The 20743-nt window shown below is 48.5% G+C and overlaps 1 protein-coding gene across 25 annotated transcripts in view, besides 1 other annotated feature; it reads left to right on the plus strand.

Moving 5' to 3' along the window:
* Positions 1-20743, plus strand: part of CAMTA1 (calmodulin binding transcription activator 1) — a 984253-nt gene that overhangs the window by 300974 nt on the left and 662536 nt on the right. For all 25 annotated transcript variants that reach the window (XM_011541084.3, XM_011541083.3, NM_015215.4 and 22 more), the window contains one exon: positions 4877-4944. In XM_011541084.3, the coding sequence (XP_011539386.1) occupies positions 4877-4944 (68 nt within the window). The remainder of the gene's footprint in view (positions 1-4876; positions 4945-20743) is intronic.
* Positions 6980-7174: a silencer, noted in NCBI's record as "fragment chr1:7153467-7153661 (GRCh37/hg19 assembly coordinates)". NCBI's record gives its function as "represses an EF-1alpha promoter that drives an FKBP-Casp9 reporter gene in an ReSE screen in both phorbol 12-myristate 13-acetate-treated (for megakaryocytic differentiation) and untreated K562 erythroleukemia cells {active_cell/tissue: K562 | K562(+PMA)}" and the evidence as "EXISTENCE:reporter gene assay evidence [ECO:0000049][PMID:32094911]".

A 20743-nucleotide genomic window follows, 5' to 3' on the forward strand; every position in this document is an offset into this window, starting at 1 on the left:
TTTTATTGTGGTAAAAGACACATAACATAAAATTTACCATCAGTGGTCATTAGTACATTCATGAGGATGTGCAACCATCTAGCTCCAGACATTTTCATCACCCCAGAAGGAAACCCGACACCCATCAGCCATAACTCCCCATCACCCTCTTCCCCCAACCCTTGGCAACCACTAATCTCCATGCTGTCTCTATGAATTTGCCTATTCTAGATATTTCATATAAATGGCACCATGCAACACAGGGCCTTCCATGCCTGGCCTCTTCCACTCAGCATCATGTTTTCAGTGTTCATTCATGTAGTAGCCGGTATTAGAACCTCATTCCTTTCTATGGCTGAATAACATGCCGTTGTACGTCTGTGACACATTTTGTTTCTTCATTCATCCATCTGCAGATACTTGGGGTAGGTCCACCTCTTGGCTACTGTGAGCGATGCTACTGTGTGCATGTGTCTGTGTTTTTGTTTGAGCACCTGTTTTCACTTCCTTTGGCCATGCTTTTGCCCCAGCCTCCTATGAATCTTTCAAGCCAGACTTGTGTTTGAGGGGCTGCAAGTGCAGGGGAAGGAACATGCACGCCCGGAGAGTGAGGAGTCCTGGCCTGGCTCCGCCATGAACATGCTGAGCTTGGACAAGTGCTTTTCTGTTCTATACCTCGGTTTTTTTCCTCTGTCAAGAGAGATAGACCAGACCTGTGTTTTCATCTGCCGCCTTTAGGGTCCTAGGTTTGTGGACCTCTGGGGGAAGAGAGAGAGGCCAGACAATTGAGCTAAAAACCTTTCTTTTCACAACTCCTTCCCCTCGTCGGCGGGAGCATCTCCCGCTCTGTGTGTTGCTTTTTCCCTGCTTCCTATGATGTTTTAAGCAAAGGGCTCCATGGAGACAAGGAATTTTGCCTATCACTGAAGTCGAGGATCTTATGAGTTGAACTAGGCTTTTGGGGTGGCAATAAGCTTGATCCTGCTGGAAGGAGAGAATCCCCCTGAAGGAGATTCAGTCTGGACTCCTCCTGGTCCACTGAAGGGAGGTGGGGCTGGGAAGTGACCCTGGGTCAGTGGGGAGCAGGGAGCTGTCAGCCTGGGCTGGGAAAAGTTCAGTTCCTCACTCATCCAAGCACACTGTGGCTGTCCCTTCTGAAATTCAGAGCAGTGGTGCAGAATGTGAGCCTTGGAGCCATTCTGCATGGGTTTGGGTTCTGGTTCTACAGGTACTGGCCATGTGACCTTAGGCAAGTCACTTAACCACTCTGTGCCTCAGTTTCCACACCTGTAAAGTGGCCATGGTTCCTATTTCATAGTTTGTTATGAAGATTAAACGAGATGGTCCCACATAAGTCCTAGGGCAGTACCTCCACCACCTTAGCATTGGTGACATTGATGGAAGCAATGACACAGATGGTGAAGTCCTTCTCCCCACAATCACTCTGAATTTGGATGGCTTTTACATGGCTCCATGCCATTTAGCACCAAATACTTTGTGTGGTTTTCGTTCTTTAGCGAATCTCCCCAAACGAGTTCCTGAGCTTTTGCAGGGCGGGCTCACCTGTGGTCTGCCCATCTGGTGAGGGGGTGGCCTGGGGAAGGGCCATGGGCTGGGAAGGCTGGGCAACAGGGGCCTGGCATTATACGGGTAACTCAGACATGCTCCACCCAGCCAGGTTCATGCAGCAGCATGGGACAGTCGATGGCGGGTGAGTCCATCTTTGGGGCCCAGCCAACCTGAGCACAACAGAGATGGGAGCCTGGGCCTGTGCATCAGCTTCCTCGGAAAGGCTTCTCTCAGAGGGGCTCTGTGTGGGAGGTGTCCTGGATTGGGAGAAGCAAAATTTACCTTTGGGGTGGAGGAGGGAGTGGCGGGTGATGTAGGTAGTTCTTACATCAGCGTGATTTCCTGGGACCTCTGCTTGCTTGAGAGAAGCTCATTAAACATGACGTGACCCCTGCTAAGTTTGGCCACAGAGGTGACCCCGTAACAGCACTTACACACACTATCATGTTGACTTGCCTGTACCCATCGCTCGACTGTGAGCTCTTTAACTGCACGCTTCAAAGTGGTCCTGTTCCCTTTCTGGTATACAGTAGATGCTCAGTAAGTGTTTGTAGAGTAAACACAGAAGGCAGTAAGTAGTGCCAGGAGTTTTTCCCCTTCGGCGGGCCATAGCAGTAGGAAGCCCTGTCAGGCTGGGGTGAGCGTTGGCTGAAGGATGCCCATGAAAGTCTTCTTTGGATGTCCAGGGTTTTGGAACAAATCACATGTTTAGAGGTTGGGATCCACTGCACCTCCCATCCCCTGGGCCACTAAGGGTCACTTCTCTCAGCATGGTCCTGAGCAGGGGCATGGATCAGGGGGTTCCAGCTGGCACAGCCTATTCCTCTGGATACCAGATCTCCTGAAGTTCAGGTAGATAAGCTGATGCACGTGACAAGTGGCTTAGTAAATCCACGTACTGACTCCAGCCGCAGTGTGCTCTGGTTTTGTGAAGCCAAATGAGAACCAATTGACAAACCAACAACTCTGAACGGTCATTCCGATGTTACCATTCATTGTCTGCAGGCGTGGGCACGTGGTGCTGTCCGGGGTGGTGGAGGTGACAGATGATGATTAATCCAGCAGTGGTGGCAGCCTCTGACCTGGACCATTTTGGTACCTGTGAACTCATCGGGCTGCTAGACAGGTGGCTCACACCACGTAGATCTTATAACGATTCATGGTAGCTATTGTTTGGGGCTTGTCCTCTGCCAGCCAGTGTATTTAGAATGATCATTCCTTAGAACTGCCTCGTGAGCTGATAGTCTCCCAGTTTCATAGGAAACTGGTCTAGACAGATTAGGTAATGTGCTCAAAATGAGACAGCTAATAAGAGGCCGTGCTGGTACCCAAAGCCAGGGCATTGTTTGCTTCCAATGCATGTGCTCTTAAGTGTGTTACTATTTTGCCTTCCTACAGTGACATAGAGTTAATTAAATAATTGGCAAAGTTTTAGTCAGGAACTGCTGCATTTTGCTGCTTTTAAGCTCCTGTGTCAACTATCTTCAGTGACACACACACACTCTCTCACTCACGTGTGCATGCATATTTACTTCTGCCATGCACGTTTTTCCTAGCCCCATCCCATCCCATCCCATCCCATCCCATCCCATCCCATCCCATCCCATCCCATCCATCCGGCCATCTGTCTAACAAACACTTATCAGGTGCTTCCTATGTGCCTCAGGACACTGTTAAGTCCAGGGGATGTGTCAGCGATAACGTGTTCCTTATCCTTCTCATGCTACAGTGGGGGATGTTATCTGAGTAAACAAGCAATTAGAATGCAGAGTGATAAATCCTGCCAACTGGGGGAAGGTGCCAGTGCCACCCAGGCAAGCAGTAGGGATAACTGACGCCATCATGAATAGTTAGGGAGGGCCAGCCAGAGGAAGGATCTATCTACAGTGAGACCTCAGGGAAAGATTTTTCTAAGGAGAGGAAATAACACGTAAAAAGGCTCAGGGATGAGAGAACAATGTGCTGGTTGATCAGCTGCTTATTTATGATTTCTTCAGCTGCAGTCAGTGATAGAAACTTGCACAGTGAAGCAACTCTATTTTTGCTATAGGCTTCTGCTTCCCAGGTTCTTTGTCAGGTCCAGGCTTCCGGACAGAGGTGGCTTGGGCTCTCAGTTCCCAATCACTGGCTGCCTTGTGGTGGCCGGCTCCATGGGATGTCAGGCCTTGATCTCCACTCTTGGCCTGTGGTGTTTGGACTGCATGGCATCAGGGGCATTTTCTACTCTCACCTGCTCTGCTTACCGGGCTTCTCTTCCTTCTCAAGGCCAAGTTTAGCATCTCTGGTCACTGGTGTCAACTCCATTATGTCCCAGCTGAAAGAGGCTGCTCGCCTCCAGGCAGAGGGGCTGCTACCTTCCCAGGAGCCCTCTAGGAACCCCGGCTGCAGAGAGAGCTGAGGTGGAGGCCTCCCCTCTGAATTTTCCTGATAGTCAGGGCAGGAGCTGCGTGTTGTAGCATCACCAAGATCAAGGGAGACATGTACTAGTCCAGCCTTAATTTAACTTACAATCCCTGCCAATTTCATGTTAGCAGATCCTTTCGGAGGTGGAAGTAATGGGCCATATCATGCCTCGAGCTGGAGCAATGACTTATGTTGATGTCACTCACTGGCTTTTTATGGAAATTATTAATAAATCAGTAATTCTATCTGCAGTGATGTTGTTGTGTTTATAAATATTTAATTTGCCTTCAGATGCCCACATTTTCCTCATCTTTACCTTAAACTCTGCTGACGTTGCTCTTCTTTTGGATGTGCCGCTCACTAGATTTAAGTTATCAGTAGTGGGAAAGGTTAACTTATTTCTCCCCGTTTCCTCTCTGGAATATGGCTTTATCGTGTCTTTTCTTTTTAATCTTTGTGTGATTTTGGCTCAGGGGGTTGGGGATGAAGCTGAGAGAATGCGACGTCTCTTGTGACAGAGATGAAAGATTCGTCCAGCTTCAGAAAAGGACGAAACTTTCCAATTATGGTCTCGCATCGTGGAGAATTGTTGTTGTTGGCATGTGTTTTTCCCTCCCTAAATTAATGACATTTAGAATCTGAAATGGTGTCTGATGTCTTCCTGCCACAGAGAAATATTTTTGTCCTTGCCACCGACTCATCTTTTGAGGCCCAGTGCTTTGATTACTACCGTGTGACAGGTTGAATGGAAAGGCCTTAAAAAATCAAAATAGAAACAGAGTCCAAGTCGAGTATTTCTCTAGCAGGGATGGAGTTCCAGGCTCGCAAATGAAAACAGCAGCTGGGAAACAGCAAAAACTTTCTTACCTCTCAGGATCCAATGTGAGCTAATTGTTGTTATTATCTTTTTATTCTTCTGTTTCAGGAAATTGCAGCTTATTTAATAACATTTGAGAAACACGAAGAATGGCTAACCACCTCCCCTAAGACAAGGTAATGTCCCAGATCTTGCAGTTTTTCAAATGTGTACCATAAGTGGATTGATTTGCATTGATTACCTGATTTGGCCAGTGAATTCATGGGCAACGAGTTGAAAATGCCATGTTGTGCTGGATGGCTTTCGACACTGAGGTCTCATTCATTGACATAAGACTGTGGCAGTGAATACGATCAGATGGATTAAAAAGAGTGCAAGTGCCATCCGCCAGTTGGAACTTTTAACCTGACGGCTGCATCCTTCAGCCGGGTGCTTGGAAGGCTTCACAGGCAGGAGCCTCAGGGGAAGTTTATTTTGGGAAATTGCTCGCCTGCCACTAGTGTTCTCTAGAAACGTGCTTTGAAAAAAGAGAAACCAGCTTAACTGCCCACTTTTATCTCAACTTGTCTACAAACTGAAAGTCAAGTTCTTGATTGGTGGTAAAGAGATCCCCCCAAATCAGAAGCAATGGCTAAGCTCGCAGTTTATTATGCAGTAAATGTCCTTGAACCTGCTAACTGCCGCAAACACTTAGCTTCTCTCACCACTTGGGAATAGAGGGAATTAGTGAAAATATAGCTGACCTGCGTTCCGCCAGCACCAGTGATGTTACCATCTTGTGAACGGTGATGTTGGGACTTAGGGTTGATTTTAAAAGGCAGCCTCTTTTGGTCCTCCCCAACTCTAGGTTTTTATTTTTGGAATGTTACAATCTAGAGCTTCGGAAATACATGGCCACTCTCTTCCAATTGCCGTAAGTTTTCTGTTAGCAGTGACAGGACCCAGGTGTTTATTAGCTGGCGGGGTGGTAGCTGGAGTGTGGTTTACACAGGATGCCTGGACTGCAGGCTTGAACTGAAGTGGTGGAATGTCCAGTTGGTTTCACGTTGGACAGAAGCCCCAGAGTCCCCAGGTTTGTTAGGACCAGGGAAGGGTTGAGTGTGTCCTCTGTGCCCGTGGCCCATCAGCTTGACCTGTTCATCCTTCCTGAGTCATGGGAAAGGTCATCCTTGGGAATGTTTATTCCTTCTAGAAGGTATTTTAAAATACCACATTATTAGGCTGAGATATTTACTGGTTAGCATCTTTTAGGTGAGGGCACAATCCTCCCCTTTGAAGGAGGCTAGAGGGCATTGTGGAAGGAAGGTTAGTTATTGAGGCTCCCTTCCCCAGGTGGCTCTGAATGGTTCACCTCTGGCCTGAGAATGGGAGGAGAGTCTGTCCGCAGGAGTCCCCAAAACCTCAGCCTGCTGGAACCATGGTTTTTCCTTTGCTATAAAATCAAATAATTTATATCAGTCAGCTTTTGCTGTGATAATTCTGTGTAAGAAACGACCTGCAAGCTTAGTGACTTTAAACAACAAATCTTTATTTTCTGCTCATGGGTCTGTGGGCTGCCTGTGGCTTTGGGTTGAGGTCAGGTCTGCTGTGTGCATCATTTTGCTGTGGGACCTAGGCTGAGGAAGCCCCCTCTGCCTGGGAAGTTGGCGTCTCCCAGAGGAGGGCAGAGGCTTACAAGCCCAAGGCAGTTGATGCAGGTGCAGTTGAAACTCCTGCTCAGATGTGGCATCATATGTCATGCCTGCTGATGAATCCACTGGCCAAAGCAAGTCCCCTGGCCAAGCCCAGTAAGAATGGGGCTGGGAAGGACATCCCTCCACAGAGTGGGGGCAGGGGTGGGCGGTGGAGAGGATGGGAATACAGTGCACTATTTGGTGAATACGGCCATGTTAAACTAGAGAGCCTGACATGCTCATTTCCCCTTTCTTCTGCGGCATCTTCTTGGAGGACATCATTCTCAAACTTGAGCAGGCATCAGAATCAGCTGAGGGCTCATTAAAATGCGGGCCCCACCCTAGGGTTTCTGATTCAGCAGGTGCGGTGCAGGGGGCCTGAACATGTGTTATTTCTAACAAGCTCCCAGGCAGTAGGATGTGGCTGGTCTGGGACTGTACTTTGAGGGCCACTGGCCTAGTTTTCTGGGGGAGAAGGAGGCTTATCTGATTTCTGCCTCTGGACCATTTCCTGACTTCCAAGGGTGGCCCTTATCTCAAGCAGCCGCCAGCCTCTCCTTGCGCCCTTCACTCTCCGCTGAAACACTCCTTGAATCTAAGTGGAAAGAGAAGAGCTCCTCCTTAGCCAGAGAGGGAGCTTCTCTGGAATGCGTCCTGGGCCAGACATCTGATTTCAGATACGCAGACCCGTGCTGGGTTTCAGCCACCCTTTGACGGCAGAACAGTAGAACATTTCAAGGCAGCGGTTTTACCTCGAGTTTCAGCCTTTGGAATTTGGGTTACAATTGAGAAGGGGATGTCACTCAGGGTCATGCCTGACTCGCATGACTTTCTGGAATATACATAGAGCCAAGAGACCCCACCCCGAGGCACAGGGTGTGTGCCTGGCAGAAGAAGGAAGGTGGGTTTCAGATGTGGTCAAGTCCGGGTTTGAGTCCTGGCTCCGTCACTCAGTGGCTTTGCGACTGTGAAAAGGTCATCTTAGCTCCTTTAAAAGCCCTGGTTTTTCTTCTTCATATAGAAAATGGAGTTGCTGTTGATCCCACCCTTGCTGGGTCACGATGAGGATTGAATGTGGTCACGTTTCTGATTCTGCTTCCCATGCCGTCGGGTCTGTCCATGCACAGGTGTCACTGTGCCTCTTATCTGTGGGGCAGTCCCCAACCTGCTGGATGCTTTGACTTCGACAGGCGTCTGCCAGGATTTCTCTGGGTTTGGAAGGACGAATTTCTTTCCTAAAGGCAGAGGGTGAAGACGGAAGGTTTCCTATTAGTATTATAATATCCACTCCATGTTTACACTTGAAAGCTTCTTGTCCCAGGAGAAGCAAAACTTGCTGTGGTTGTTCAAGGACCTTCCTAAATTAGTTGTTGAGTTGTGTTTGGATCCCCACCCCCACCCCATCTCTAGTATTGAAATTAATTGGTGCAGTTAACTGCTGAGTTCATACAAACTGGCCTCCTGGTATTAAGGAATTAATGACACCAATACTCTGCTGAATGAGAAGGCAATACAACTTCTGTTTGCTGCTGCCGCCGCCACTGCTAATTTCATTTTAGAAAATTAATAAAAATGAATTGCACCACTGACATTTATAGAGTTTCCTAATAAAATGATACATTGTTTGTGTGGAGGAATCCCTATTAAATTAATTGTTGTAATCAGTTCACATATAGATGTTGGTATAGAAGCTGCAGAGGGGCCCCCTGCTTGTCTCTGTGGCTTGCTGCTGGCTGGGGGTTATAAATATAGTCCTTGCTCAGATACTGCCCTAATTACAGAGAAGGCCCCGGGAGCCCCAGCTCACCTGTTTAATAATGAGGTGTGCTACACGGAGGCTCCCAGGGCTGGGGACCCTGGGGGCAGCCGCGGTATCGCAACAGAGCTGAATGCTGAACGTTCAAACAGCCCGTATTGTACTCTCAGCAACTGGGACCTCCGGTTTGAAAAATCACCCTGCGGAACGTGTTTTTTTGGCACTTGCTGTGTGCTCAGTGTGATAATAATACCATTTGGAGACCCCAGGGAACTTCATGCTCCCCACCCTGCCAGGTGAATTGAGAATCTTGGAAAGAAGAGTGTCCTCTGTCTAGAATGTTCTCCCAGCTCCTCCTGCAGGCCTTGACTGGGTGTCCCTTTCTCGGGGAGGTGTCCCTGGCCATGCAGTTTAGTCTCACCCCCACCCCCACCCAGCCAGCCCCCTTTCCTCCTTTCTTGTTTTACGTTTCTCTGGAGCACTCATCGCCTTCTGACACACTGTGTCTGTCGCAGTTGCCTTGCCTAATTTATGTATTCATTACTTGACCCACTCCAAAGTGTTAGCACGAAGAGGAGAGGGATTTTTAGTGGGGCTTGTTCATGGGGCACCCCCAGCTCCTAGAACAGTGTGGACACCTCCCAGACCCTCAAGAAATATCCATAAAATGAACAAAAGTGACATAGAAAGGTGAGCCTGAGTGTTGTGAAGGAAGGGACCTGGTTTTCTCCACTTCAGTTTTTCGGGTATTTCTAGTCCCAGGATTGTCCGGTTGAGCCAGCACTGTGTTCTCTCACACCGCCCATGGGCTGGATGCTGTGCTTTGAAACCCTTCTGGCAGCTCTGCCAGGTATGGAAGGTACGTGCCCTCCTGGGACTGCATGGTGAGTCCGTGCTAGAACTGGAACTTGAACCCAGTATGATCTCACTGCAAAGCCCATACCCTTTGCTTTTGTGCCTGTGAAGGTTCCCAGGGAGCCCGTCAATAGCTCCTCTATTCCTCTCCGCCTCTCACTGCCGTGAATTCCAAACCAACTAGGAGAACCAGGCTCCAGGCAAAGGTTCCCTTTGTCAGTAAGCGTGGCTCATACGTGCCAGCCAGAAGGGTGTTCTACACTGCCCTCTGAATTGGAGTTAGCCCCCCAGTCACAGGCAGTGTGGAAGAGTGGCACACCACTGCAGGGGAGCAGGTCCCTTTCACCAGAGGGCAGGGAACCGGGCTGAGCCCAGGACAGGCAGACAGCTGCAAAACTGAGCAATCCCAATCATTTATTCCTGCTCCCCTGGGAAATACGCAACCTTCCCTGGAAGCCAGGAACACACAAAGCTCAAGATTGAAGTAAGAGCATGTCCTTCCCAGGAATCCTGTTTATACCCGTTAGAAAGAGGCTGGAAAAGGCTGTTGATTATCTAATTAATTAATTAGATTGATATAGATAGCACCTCCACATGGAAGCACTAAGGGTCTCATAATAGAATTTTCCTATGATGAACACTAAATGCCTTTTGGTCAATAAGCAATAAAACAGCCCAGTAGAAGGAGGGGGTCTAGAAGGAAAGGAGGAGAAAAGTGAGCCCTGAGTTTCAAAAAGACTCCAGTGGCTCAGAGAGAGCTTCCACTCTCCTCCTCCTGGTTTCCTGACCCCATCCGTCCATTCCGGCTTCAAATGCCCAGATCTTTCCCCGCCCTGATGGTGGTGGACATCAAACTGTGATCCTCTGCTCTTTCTTCCCACATTCTCCCTTGTGGGGCTCCCAGGACTCCCCGACACCATGGTCTCACCGTCAAGTCTCTGTGGATCATTCCCCACATCCGACTCTGTCTCCCCGGCACCTGCATGACGTATTATGATCTCCAGCTCGCCATCTTCTCCCCTCCTTCCCTGACTCCCACTCTGCTTTCCATCTTCTGACTTCCCTGGTTCTAGAAGAGCCACCTCGTTTGTGGAGATGCCAGAGCATACAACTTGGACTCCAGGTGGCTCCTTTTTCTCCTTTGTCCCCTGCATCTCATTAGCCACCAACTCCGTCAGTGTTTCCGACTGTAATTCACATCCTCATTTTCGTATGTTTTCCCCCAGGTTCAGCTGTGTCCTCACTGCCACTGTTACGCTTGGAGTATTGAAATATCTCCTACTAGGTTTCCTTCTCTAAGTCGAACTCCTCCTCCCCATTGGTTTGCCTGAAATATTGCTTTGATTCCATCGTTATTCTACTTGGGAGCCTCAGATACTTCCTGGGAGCTGAGGTTGACTCTCCAGTGATGTCGTTAAGGCCATTCTTCTGTCTCAACCCACCCTTTTCCGTTTATTTTCCTTGACATCCCACCTCTAGGTACTGCTACAACTGGGGAGCTGCTGGCTGCTCTCTGAATATCTTTCTTGTCCCCCACTTTGGCCTTCACTTGGCATTGCCCTCACCTCGAATGCCCTCATGTCCAATCTGGTCTGCCTCTTCCTGGGAGCCTTCCCCAAACTCACCAACTCAGGGCGAGCCCTCTTCCCTTCCTGCTCCCGTAGCTGCACGTGCTTTGTTGTCGGTTGTTTGCCAATTCAGCTGTCATGAGTGAGTCTTTCTTCCCCAGTGGGGTGGCGGGTTCCCCAAGGACAAGGTCATGCTGTCCCTTTTATCTCTTCACAGCCTGTGTGCAGGGAGGCCAGGGCTTTGATGGGGTGGAGTTGGGGGCGGACAGAGTGTGGATGCATTGCACAGCAGCAAGTTTGCCCAGGAGGCAGGAGTGCCAGTGCCTGCCATCCATGGGGTTCTTTGTCCTAGACAGCCCTTGGGGTCCCGGCATGGTGCCAGCCTATGAGCTGAGGCCTCTGCCTAGAAAGTCAGTGTTATCAGGCCCCAGGCTGGTCCTGGTGCAGTGGGGTTTGTCTTTGTTCAGCCCCATTGTAAGACCCCTGGCAGTGACCTGTTGGTCACCTTTAAGGCATCTGCTCTTTGGGACAGACAGAGGACTTTTCTAAGGAAGCCCCTATTCCTGGTAAGGCTGCTCGAGTGACTGGAATAGAATTGCAAAAACCATTTAAAAATTCCCAGAGCTGAAAAGAAATGCAATTCTGACACCTGCTGCAACCTGGATGAAGCTTGAAGACGTTATACTCAGTGAAATAAGCCAGACGCAAAGAGCCACACATTGTGTGATGTGCTGACTGAGGGATCTAGAATAGTCAGCTCTGGAGATGGAAAGTAGATGGTGGTTTCCAAGGGCTGGGGTGGAGGGAGGGAGAAATGGGGAGTTAGTGTTTAATGGGTACAGCGTTTCAGCTGGGGAAGATGGGTGGCAGTGATGATGGTGGCAGAGCAATGTGAATGTGCTTAATGCCACTGAACTTACACTTAAAAATGGTGAAAGTGGTACATTTTATGTTACCTATATTTTACTACAATTAAAAAAAAATTCCTGGAGTTGCCTCTGTAGCTCTTCCTCAGGTATTCAGCTGGGCAGGATTGGCTGGGGTGGACGAATTGTGTGTGTGTGTGTGTGTGTGCACGTGCGCGTGCGTGCGCATGCGTGTGTGTGCATGTGCAGGGGGTGCTGTTGGTGGCCAGAGTTCGGAAGGGCAGTTTTAGATTTAGAGCATTTTAGGACTCTGCACTTTGGAACTATGCAGGAAAAAGGAAACTGGGTCAGCAGTGGTTTCCACGTGGTAACCTTTGCATTATGCACTGAACCGGGAACGCACTTCAAATTAACACAGAGACGTGTCACGTTAGGTGCGTGTCAGCATTTTTGTAATGTATCACAAATCCTTGGCCAAGGCCATTGTTGGCCAAAGGGCAACTGCAGGGTGAGGGAGTTGGCGGGTGCCACATCTGTCAGAGTTCCCAGGGAGCCTCCTGCCCGAGGACTTCCTCGCAGGGTACCTGTCACGTAGTTTTCATTTGTTTCCGGGGGTGGGGAATGAGCTGTGGCCTGTATCCTGATGGAGTGTCTGGCGGTGTCTCGACAGTGGTAGGGAAGTCCCCAGTCTCTGCATGGAAATAGGTCTGCCCCAGATTCCAGTTATCTTTATCCTAGTTAATCCCAGAATACCACATGTCAAAGCAGGGGCAACCCACGGAGGCCACTCCTCACATCCCCTCCGTGTCTAGGAAGTTGGCCGTGGCGGGGGCACTGATGGCCTGGTGGGGTATTGTCACATACACTGGGCTCCTGATCAGAGGACATGTGAGCCTCATGTGACTTCAGTGGGCTTAGCCACCTGTTGAAATGGCAGCACCAGTCCAGGGCTCATGTCCCTGGCACAAGAGCTGAGGGTTGGCCTCCATCCCACCCCTCCTCACTTCTTGGGGCCAGGAGTGCAAGTTCCCGGTGTCCTGGAGGAGCCAAGAGGGAAGTGTTGATGTTTGTGTCTCTGATTCCTCCCTGGGTTAGACAGCTACGACCTGTGGCTCCTGCCCACCCCGCCACCCCCATGCTTTTTAAAAAAATTTTGATATGGAGTCTCGCCATCAGCCAGGCTGGAGTGCAATCGTGTGATCTCGGCTCACTGCAACCTCCACCTCCCAGGTTCAAGTGGTTCTCCTGCCTCTCAGCCTCCTGAGTAGCTGGGATTACAGGTGCCTGCCACCACTCCTGGCTAATTTTTGTATTTTTAGTAGAGATGGGGTTTCACCCTGTTGGCCAGGCTGCTCTCGAACTCATGGCCTCAAGTGATCTGCCCGCCTCGGCCTCCCAAAGTGCTGGGATTACAGGCATGAGTCAGTGCGTCCGGCCCTCCCTTCTTTTATTTTTATAAAAATTATACGTGTACATAGTTTAGTATGTCAAATGGCCCTAAAAAACTTGTAAGAAAAGATAGCAGCCTCTGCAGTACAGCTCAATCCTGTTTCCCAGGGGCGGCTGCTCTCTGGTCTTTTGGTTCTGATATTTACCTCCAGATTTCTAAATATGTTGACTCTGCTGTTTCTTGATTTGTCAATTTTAGACATCATCTTCCGGCTTCCTCAGATGCTAACTGAGGATTTAGCTTTCTTACTGTGTCCACTGCCTGGCTCTTCCTTACCTGGGGGAGGGGCTGGTTAATGGAGGGAGCCAGCTTTCTGTTGGTAACTCTGAGGTTCAGCATCTCTACATTTTTTCTCTGGAACCATCCGGGTTCTCCTGAGAAGGACTGGTCGATGTGCTGCCTAGTTTGAGCTGGCCTGGCTGCTGGTGGTCTGGGAGCCAAGCAGGGCGAGGGGCTGGGAATGTCAGCATTGGGTATGAGAGCTATCACTTAATTCTCCCAGTTTATAGCCTGTGTTTCTTGCCTCTCTTCTGCTGTTTCCGAGTTCGGAGTCTTTCCAGACTCCACCTCTTCAGAGAATCAATGTGTCTCCCGCTGGGGCAGAGGCCAGGGGGTGGTTGCCTGTCTGCTCAGTGTAGACGTGGGACCCCGGGAGGGTCTATTGCCCCCTATACAGATGTGTGAGCTCCCTCTGCTTCCCACCCCATTCCTAACTTCTGCCTTCCGTGGCACCTACTGCTTCCAATTCACGAGTCTTCTAGGGGCTTGGCAGGCGGGTTAGCGTGTTGTTCCTGGGGTCCCCTGCACGGCACTTGGGTTTTTGCTTCCTAGATTCAGCTGTGTCAGTTACCAACCCTGCATCTGCTTCCCGTCTCTCCGGAATGTGTTGGCGTCTCTTATCCACACTCGTCTCTGTTCCCCTTTGGCTTTTCCTTTGTGGATTTATATTAGTTTTCATTCCTTTACTGTCACTGGTGAAGATGAGCGATGCTTAGTCCTCCCTGTGAGCCCTGTTTCTTCCTCACTGGCCTTTGCCCAGAGTCGTGCCGAGTGGGACCCACTCCCCTTGTTTTCTCATTCTTCCTCTCTCTCCTCTTCGTTTCCTGCTCACTCTCAAGTTAACTTGCTGTTTCACTCTCTTGCTTTTTTCTCTTTTTCCAAGTCTTTTTCAGTCTGCAGAAAGAAATGCCTCAAAGTGCAGTTTGGAGGTTTCTAAGTGCGCAGCTGCTCAGGGCTGGGAAATCCTGCTGCTGACATGCACACATGCTTCTTGTGTGTGAGGCCCCAGGTGCGCAGCCCGACCCACACCAAGCCCCGGCGCTGGCCTCCTGTCCACCTTCTTAATGCACCATTCTTAGTTTAGAGCCTTTCCTGGCATTGGCACAGGGGCGTGGTGTGGCCTCTCCCTGAGCAGAATTTCAGGGATCTTGGGGACGGCCAGGGCCATCCACTATGCTGTGCATGTCCCCTAACAGTGGGATCTCGATGGCTTTTATTTTTACATGGTTCTGCATGTGTCTTCTTTGGATTTTACTGGGACAAAAGCCTTCGCGGCAGAGGCTTCGTGCCAGGGTGCCTGTGATGCACGTTGGGGTGCTCTGACACCCCAACAGGAGACTGCCCGCCCAGGGTGACCCTTGCCAGCATCTCTAAGCAGGACACCTGGCAGTGAATACTTCCGAGAATGGAAAAGCCCCCTGGCACTGTGCCCACACTGATCGATAAGTATTTGCATGCCCTGTCCGTGTCCATCGATGGTCATTTTGTTTTGTTTCTGGCGCCCCGCAGGCCCCGCAGTTTATTCTTAGCATCTTCAGCCCTGTCTCCTTGGTTTGGAGAATTAGGACTGCCTGGTATTTCTGTCACGGGCGTGGATTGGCATCTGTGGTGTTTCCTCTGGATCAATTCTGATCTAATAAATTGTTACTCGCTGCCCATGGAAAGGGAAAGGGAGTTGGCCTGCGGGCCTTGTGGCATTATGAGATAGGAAGGCGAGTTCTTGGAATAAAGGACTTTTTGCAATTCATAAGTTTCTGTGTAATGAGTAATCACCAGATCATCTGGGGGTTCTGGGCTGGAGATTCTCCCCCTGTGCTGTTTGGCTAGGAGGTATTACTGTCTTTGCTATTCTTAGATTTTCCACAGTCCTTCATTATGGAGCTTTCTAAAAAAATTAAAAATAAACCAAAAACAAAGGAAGGAAATCTTTTCTGGTTCTCCAACTCTGCTGCATATCCCACTTTCACTTGAGCTTTTGCTTTGCGTTGTGTGTGTGAGCTTACACACATGTATGCACATACACACACAGCACACATGTAGACACATATGTGCGTGCTGTGGCACATAGAACCATACACGTGCACATAGATACACAACTACACATGTACACATGACACATATGCATGAACAAATTTGTAACACACAATACATGTGTGCACACAGCACAAACACATATACACATGTACACATGTAGGCACATACACACATATGCATGTGCCCAGGCAATACAGACACGGAGCATATACATGCACATATACACACAACTACACACATGTACACACAACACACATGCACAAGCAAATATTCAACACATAATGCATGCATGCAGCACAGAAATACACATACATATACATACATGTACACACATGCATAAATACACAACACACACACACACACACACACACACACACACACACACACACACACAGCTTCCTGTATTGGTCACTGTTCTCTTGTAAGAAGTCTCTGGGAAAATTTTTCTTCGTTATGTGTCTTAGCGAGTTGAAATTTTTTGGGTAGAGGAAATTTTCTCCTCGAAGAAAAAATTAATTATTCTATACTGGCTACTCCTGACCTCACCTGGCAGGGAATTTATTGTTAATTAAGCTGTTTAGTTTGAGGTGACTCTGGTGGGGAAGAGGGAGCGAGAGTCCAGGACGGGGCAGCCACGTCCGGGAGGGGAGGGTCCTGCTCTGCTGAGGACAGGGGAGCTCACTGAAGCATTGGTGGCTGGCGTTGTGACTTCCCATCACTCTCTCCACCGGGATGATCTGTAGGAATTCAGGATCTGAGTTTTTTATTTTGGCCTTTACCTGCGATGGAATTGAATTTGCATGTAGAATGGCAGCTGGTGCCTAGGCCGAGGGATCAGAGAAGTCAGCCCACTGTCAGGTCTGGAGAACGACGTCTAGGCAGGTGATGAAATTATGGAAAGAACAAATGTATGCGCAAGGATGGAGGAGGGAAAACAGATGAGACACTTTTGCTTCTCCCCAGGAGCACAGCCTGCACCGTGAAATGTGCTATTTCCACATATTTTCACACTGAAAATCCACGGCCCTTCCACCTCCAGTGTCATGGGCTCGCTCTAATTAATTCAGTTCACCAGTGTTGGGCGATGCTGCCCTTCTGATGCTGGGGGTTGACCGTGCTCTGTTTGGGGAATGGGTGTCATCTTCTCCCTGGGTTATGAGCGAGCCCTTTTATTCCTGAGCTGCGTGACACCGAACTGTCACCTTCTTTAGTTGTTGGTTGGCACCCACTCTTCTCTTTACTCGGTGAATACCTTCCGACTGCTTCCTGTGTGCCAGGCATTGTGCTGGGCATTGGGACATAGTGGTGGTGACCAAGACAGATCATTTATAAGAATTGCAACTTTGGGGAGTGCTACAAGGGTCAAGTGCAGGGAGAGGCTGCCCCTCTAGTGCATGGGGTGGGGGAGGTTGGGCTGCCTTCCAGAGGGGCTGCGGGGTGCAGTGGGGGTTCCCAGCGGGGTGGGGGGTACCCTTGAACAGGGTACCTACCTGAGTAGCTATTATTAACACCCTTGCCTGGTTGCCCTAGGGATGGACAATGAACTGGAAGTCCAAGGGTGAAAGTAGAAAGAACCCGGGAGTGCTCACATGCCAATGTAGATTCCATTTTACGGATGGGAGGACTGAGGCACCGTCTGTCTGAGAGGCACATATACACACAACTACACACATGCACACACAACACACACATATATACACAACTACACACGTACACACAACTACACACGCACACACACAGCACACACACCTACACACACTACACACATGCACACACAACTACACACATGTACACAACACACACTACACACGTACACACAACACAGATACACACTACACACGTACACACAACACACAACTACACACATGTACACACTACACACATACACACAACACAACTACACACATGTACACACAACACACATGTACACAACTACACACACGCACACACAACTACACACACGCACACACAACACAACACATGTACACGCAACTACACACATGCACACAACAGATACAACTACACATATGTATACATGACACACATGTACACACCACACATGTACACACAATACATTACACACATGCACACACAACACACATAACTACACGTACATACAACGCACATATACATACAACTACACACATGCACACACAACTACACACATGTACACACAACACACATACACACACACACAACTACACACATGTACACACAACACACAACTACACGCGCACTCACACATACACACAACTACACACATACAGCACACACGTACATACAACTACACACACGCACACACAACACACAAGTACACACATGAACACAACACACTACACACATGTACACACTACATATGCATACAACACACACAACTACACAGATGTACACACTACACAGATGTACACACAACACACATACACAACTACACACATGTACACACAACACACATAACTACACACGTACACACAACACACATATGCATACAACTACACACATATACACACAACACACATGCACACACAACTACACACATGTACACACAACACAACTACACACGTGTACACACAACACACATACACACAACTACATACATGCACACAAAACAAATATTCAACACAATGCATGCATGCAGCACAGAAACACACACATATACATACATGTACACACATGCATAAATACTCAATACACATACACACACACACACACACACACAGCTTCCTGTGTTGGTCACTGTTCTCTTGTAAGAAGTCTCTGGGAAAATTTTTGACTTATCCTTGTCCTGTTAGCTGCTGTCAGCAAAGACGCCGTGGAGTCTGACCTTCTGAGTGTGGAGAGCCAGAGGAGCTCTGGGGGAACTGGATCCCCAGAGGCTCCAAGCACCAAGCTTTGGTTCCCCTTGAATGCCAGCTGCTCAGATTTGGCTGATGTCAGACCCACCTGTCCCAGTGTCCCCTAGCACTGTGCTCCTTTTAAACTTTCTCCCACTCCCATCTCTGTGTGCTCAGCCCCTCCCCTTCCAATCAGACTGTCAACTGAGGCTTCAGGAGAGAAAGTGGTCTCCAGGGACAAGGGGTCGTGCTGGCTGTGGCAGCTTCACATCACGGGCCCATTTACATGTGAGAAAACTGTTATTGATGATGATGATGGTGACGGATAATGGAGAGACTGCATGGGGGGAATTATTCTTAGATATAATTGCCAAACTTTGAATTCTTTTTTAGCTGTGATACAGAATTCCAAGGTGAGAAAAAAAATCTCTCCCTTCACTTTATGAGTAAGTGATTTGGTTCTGCTCCTTCTAGAAAAATTCCAGCCTTAACCCCATCTATCCCATCAGTGTGTGTCTGGGAATATCTCTAGTTACGCCATTTCTCTGGTGCTTAATTTCTTTACCCAGTGCCAGAGGGTCTGCAAGGATATGTATGAGTTTTGCAGTTTATTAATTTTGCATTAAATAATTAATAGTAAAGTTAATTGATGAATTATTCAATTTTCAGGTAAAATGGGATGATAAATATTCATAACTTATTTTATTAAGGGAATTTCCATTTCTTATGTCATTAAATCTAGATTAACAAAGGCTGATTTTAAATGAAGATTGAAAACAATTGTGTTTTGGAATTAATTTACCAAGTTAAGGTCATTGCTTTGTGAGTTTACCCCCTGCCAGAAAGTTCGGGCTTATCATCTGGAAAGGTATCTGAATTCGCAGAAGTCACATTGCCATCAGTTAGGAGAATTCCCCAGATCTGCTGGGAACTTCCCATGAAGGGCATGACAGGCCCACGGTGGGGTGGCTCGGAGGCAGAGGCGGATCTGCGGCCTTTTCCTCCGTTCCACTGAGCACTGGGCTGTTGCTTTGAGCTGTTTGTTGTCTTCTCAGGAATTGGAACACAGTTTATTATTAACATTAGTTCATACATCCCAGGGAAGGAATGATAAGGTGCATATGCCTCAAAGTTGATTTTAAAATAACTTTGGGGCCAGACACAATGGCTCACACCTGTAATCTCAGCACTTTGGGAGACTGAAGTGGGCAGATCACTTGAGCCCAGGAGTTTGAGACCAGCCTGGGTAATATAGTGAGACCACCGTCTCTACAAAAATACAAAAATTAGCTGGGCATGGTGGTGCACCTGTGGTCCCAGCTACTCGAGAGGCTGAAGTGGGAGGATCACCTGAGCCCAGGAGGTTAAGGCTGCAGTGAGCCGAGATCACGCACCGTACTCCAGCCTGGGTGACAGAGTGAGACCATGTCTCAAAAAAAAAAAAGGGTTTCCCCAGAGTTTTAGGAGGTGTATGAAATGATTTCCTATCCACTAATGCTCTTAGTCAAGGGTTAACTACAGTTTCAGTTTTTATCTGTGTTTTCTAGTTATCTTATTTCTTTTAGACCTGGTTTATGTTAATTTGTAAAACTGCTTAGATCACAGACCCACAGAGTGGTGGTGAGAAGTTTCTGAGTATCTTACAGGCTGCTTACAACTTGCAAAACCCTTCAGATCTGGGATCTCAATCCTTTTAACAACCTGCAAAGTAGGTAATGCCTGGGGATACACTGAGGGAGGGAGGAAGGGAGAGAGAGAGAGAGAGAAAGAAAGAAGGAGAAGAAGGAGGAGGAGGAGGAGACGAAAGAGGAGGATGAGGAGGAAATAGAGGAAGAAGAGGGAGCAAAAGAGAGGGAGGGAGATGGAGGGAGAAAGAAAGATCCAGAGTAAGCCACATCTCACATTCAGTTTTCTTTCTCCTGTCCGGCCACTTCCCTCCACTCACGGATGAGGAAACTGAGACCCAGAAATTATGTGACTTACCCAAGGTCACTTCAGCTAATTAGGTACAGAAGTTGGGACCAGAGCCCAGCTCTTTCTTTTTCACATTTGAGTGCTTTTTTCAACTTCGGTGTCTTTCTTAGCGCTTTAAAATAATTTTTAACCGCCCCCGAGTAGTGGAGCGCTTGGGAGTATTTATAGCCCCGTGGAACCGCGTTTCTCTGCTTCACCAAGTGTTCATTATAATTTTCCAGTGAAACTTGTTTGCTCTGAGGAAGTTGATCCTACGGTAGGCCTTCATTTCAGAGGAGAGCATTTGATGTTGCATCTCATGAACCTGCTCTCCTAAAATTATCCCTAATTGGCTTGGAAAGTGGCTTCCAACAAGCAGATGGCTTAATATCTTGACTTTCTGGTGTGACTCAGGGAGGCACCAGGATTAGATCTGGCTTGAGATAGTGGTCTTGTTATTTGGAGGATGAGATGCTATCAGTAATGTGCAGACTGGAGTGGCAGCCTCTGGGGAGATGTCGTGGAAACCGCCAGGGACAGCTCGTGTCATCAGGGATGTCAGATGGCAGGTGGGGTGGGGAGAGGGGGCCTCGAAATGCAATTCCATAATGTCTAGCGTTAGTCAACAAGCCATTATTGAGTGCCTGCTGCGTGCATAGGTTTGTAGTAGGCACTGTGGGGTTACAAAGGCAGTGGAAAACATGGCCCCT

Source organism: Homo sapiens, chromosome 1 (assembly GCF_000001405.40).
Source record: "Homo sapiens chromosome 1, GRCh38.p14 Primary Assembly".
Taxonomy (NCBI): domain Eukaryota; kingdom Metazoa; phylum Chordata; class Mammalia; order Primates; family Hominidae; genus Homo; species Homo sapiens.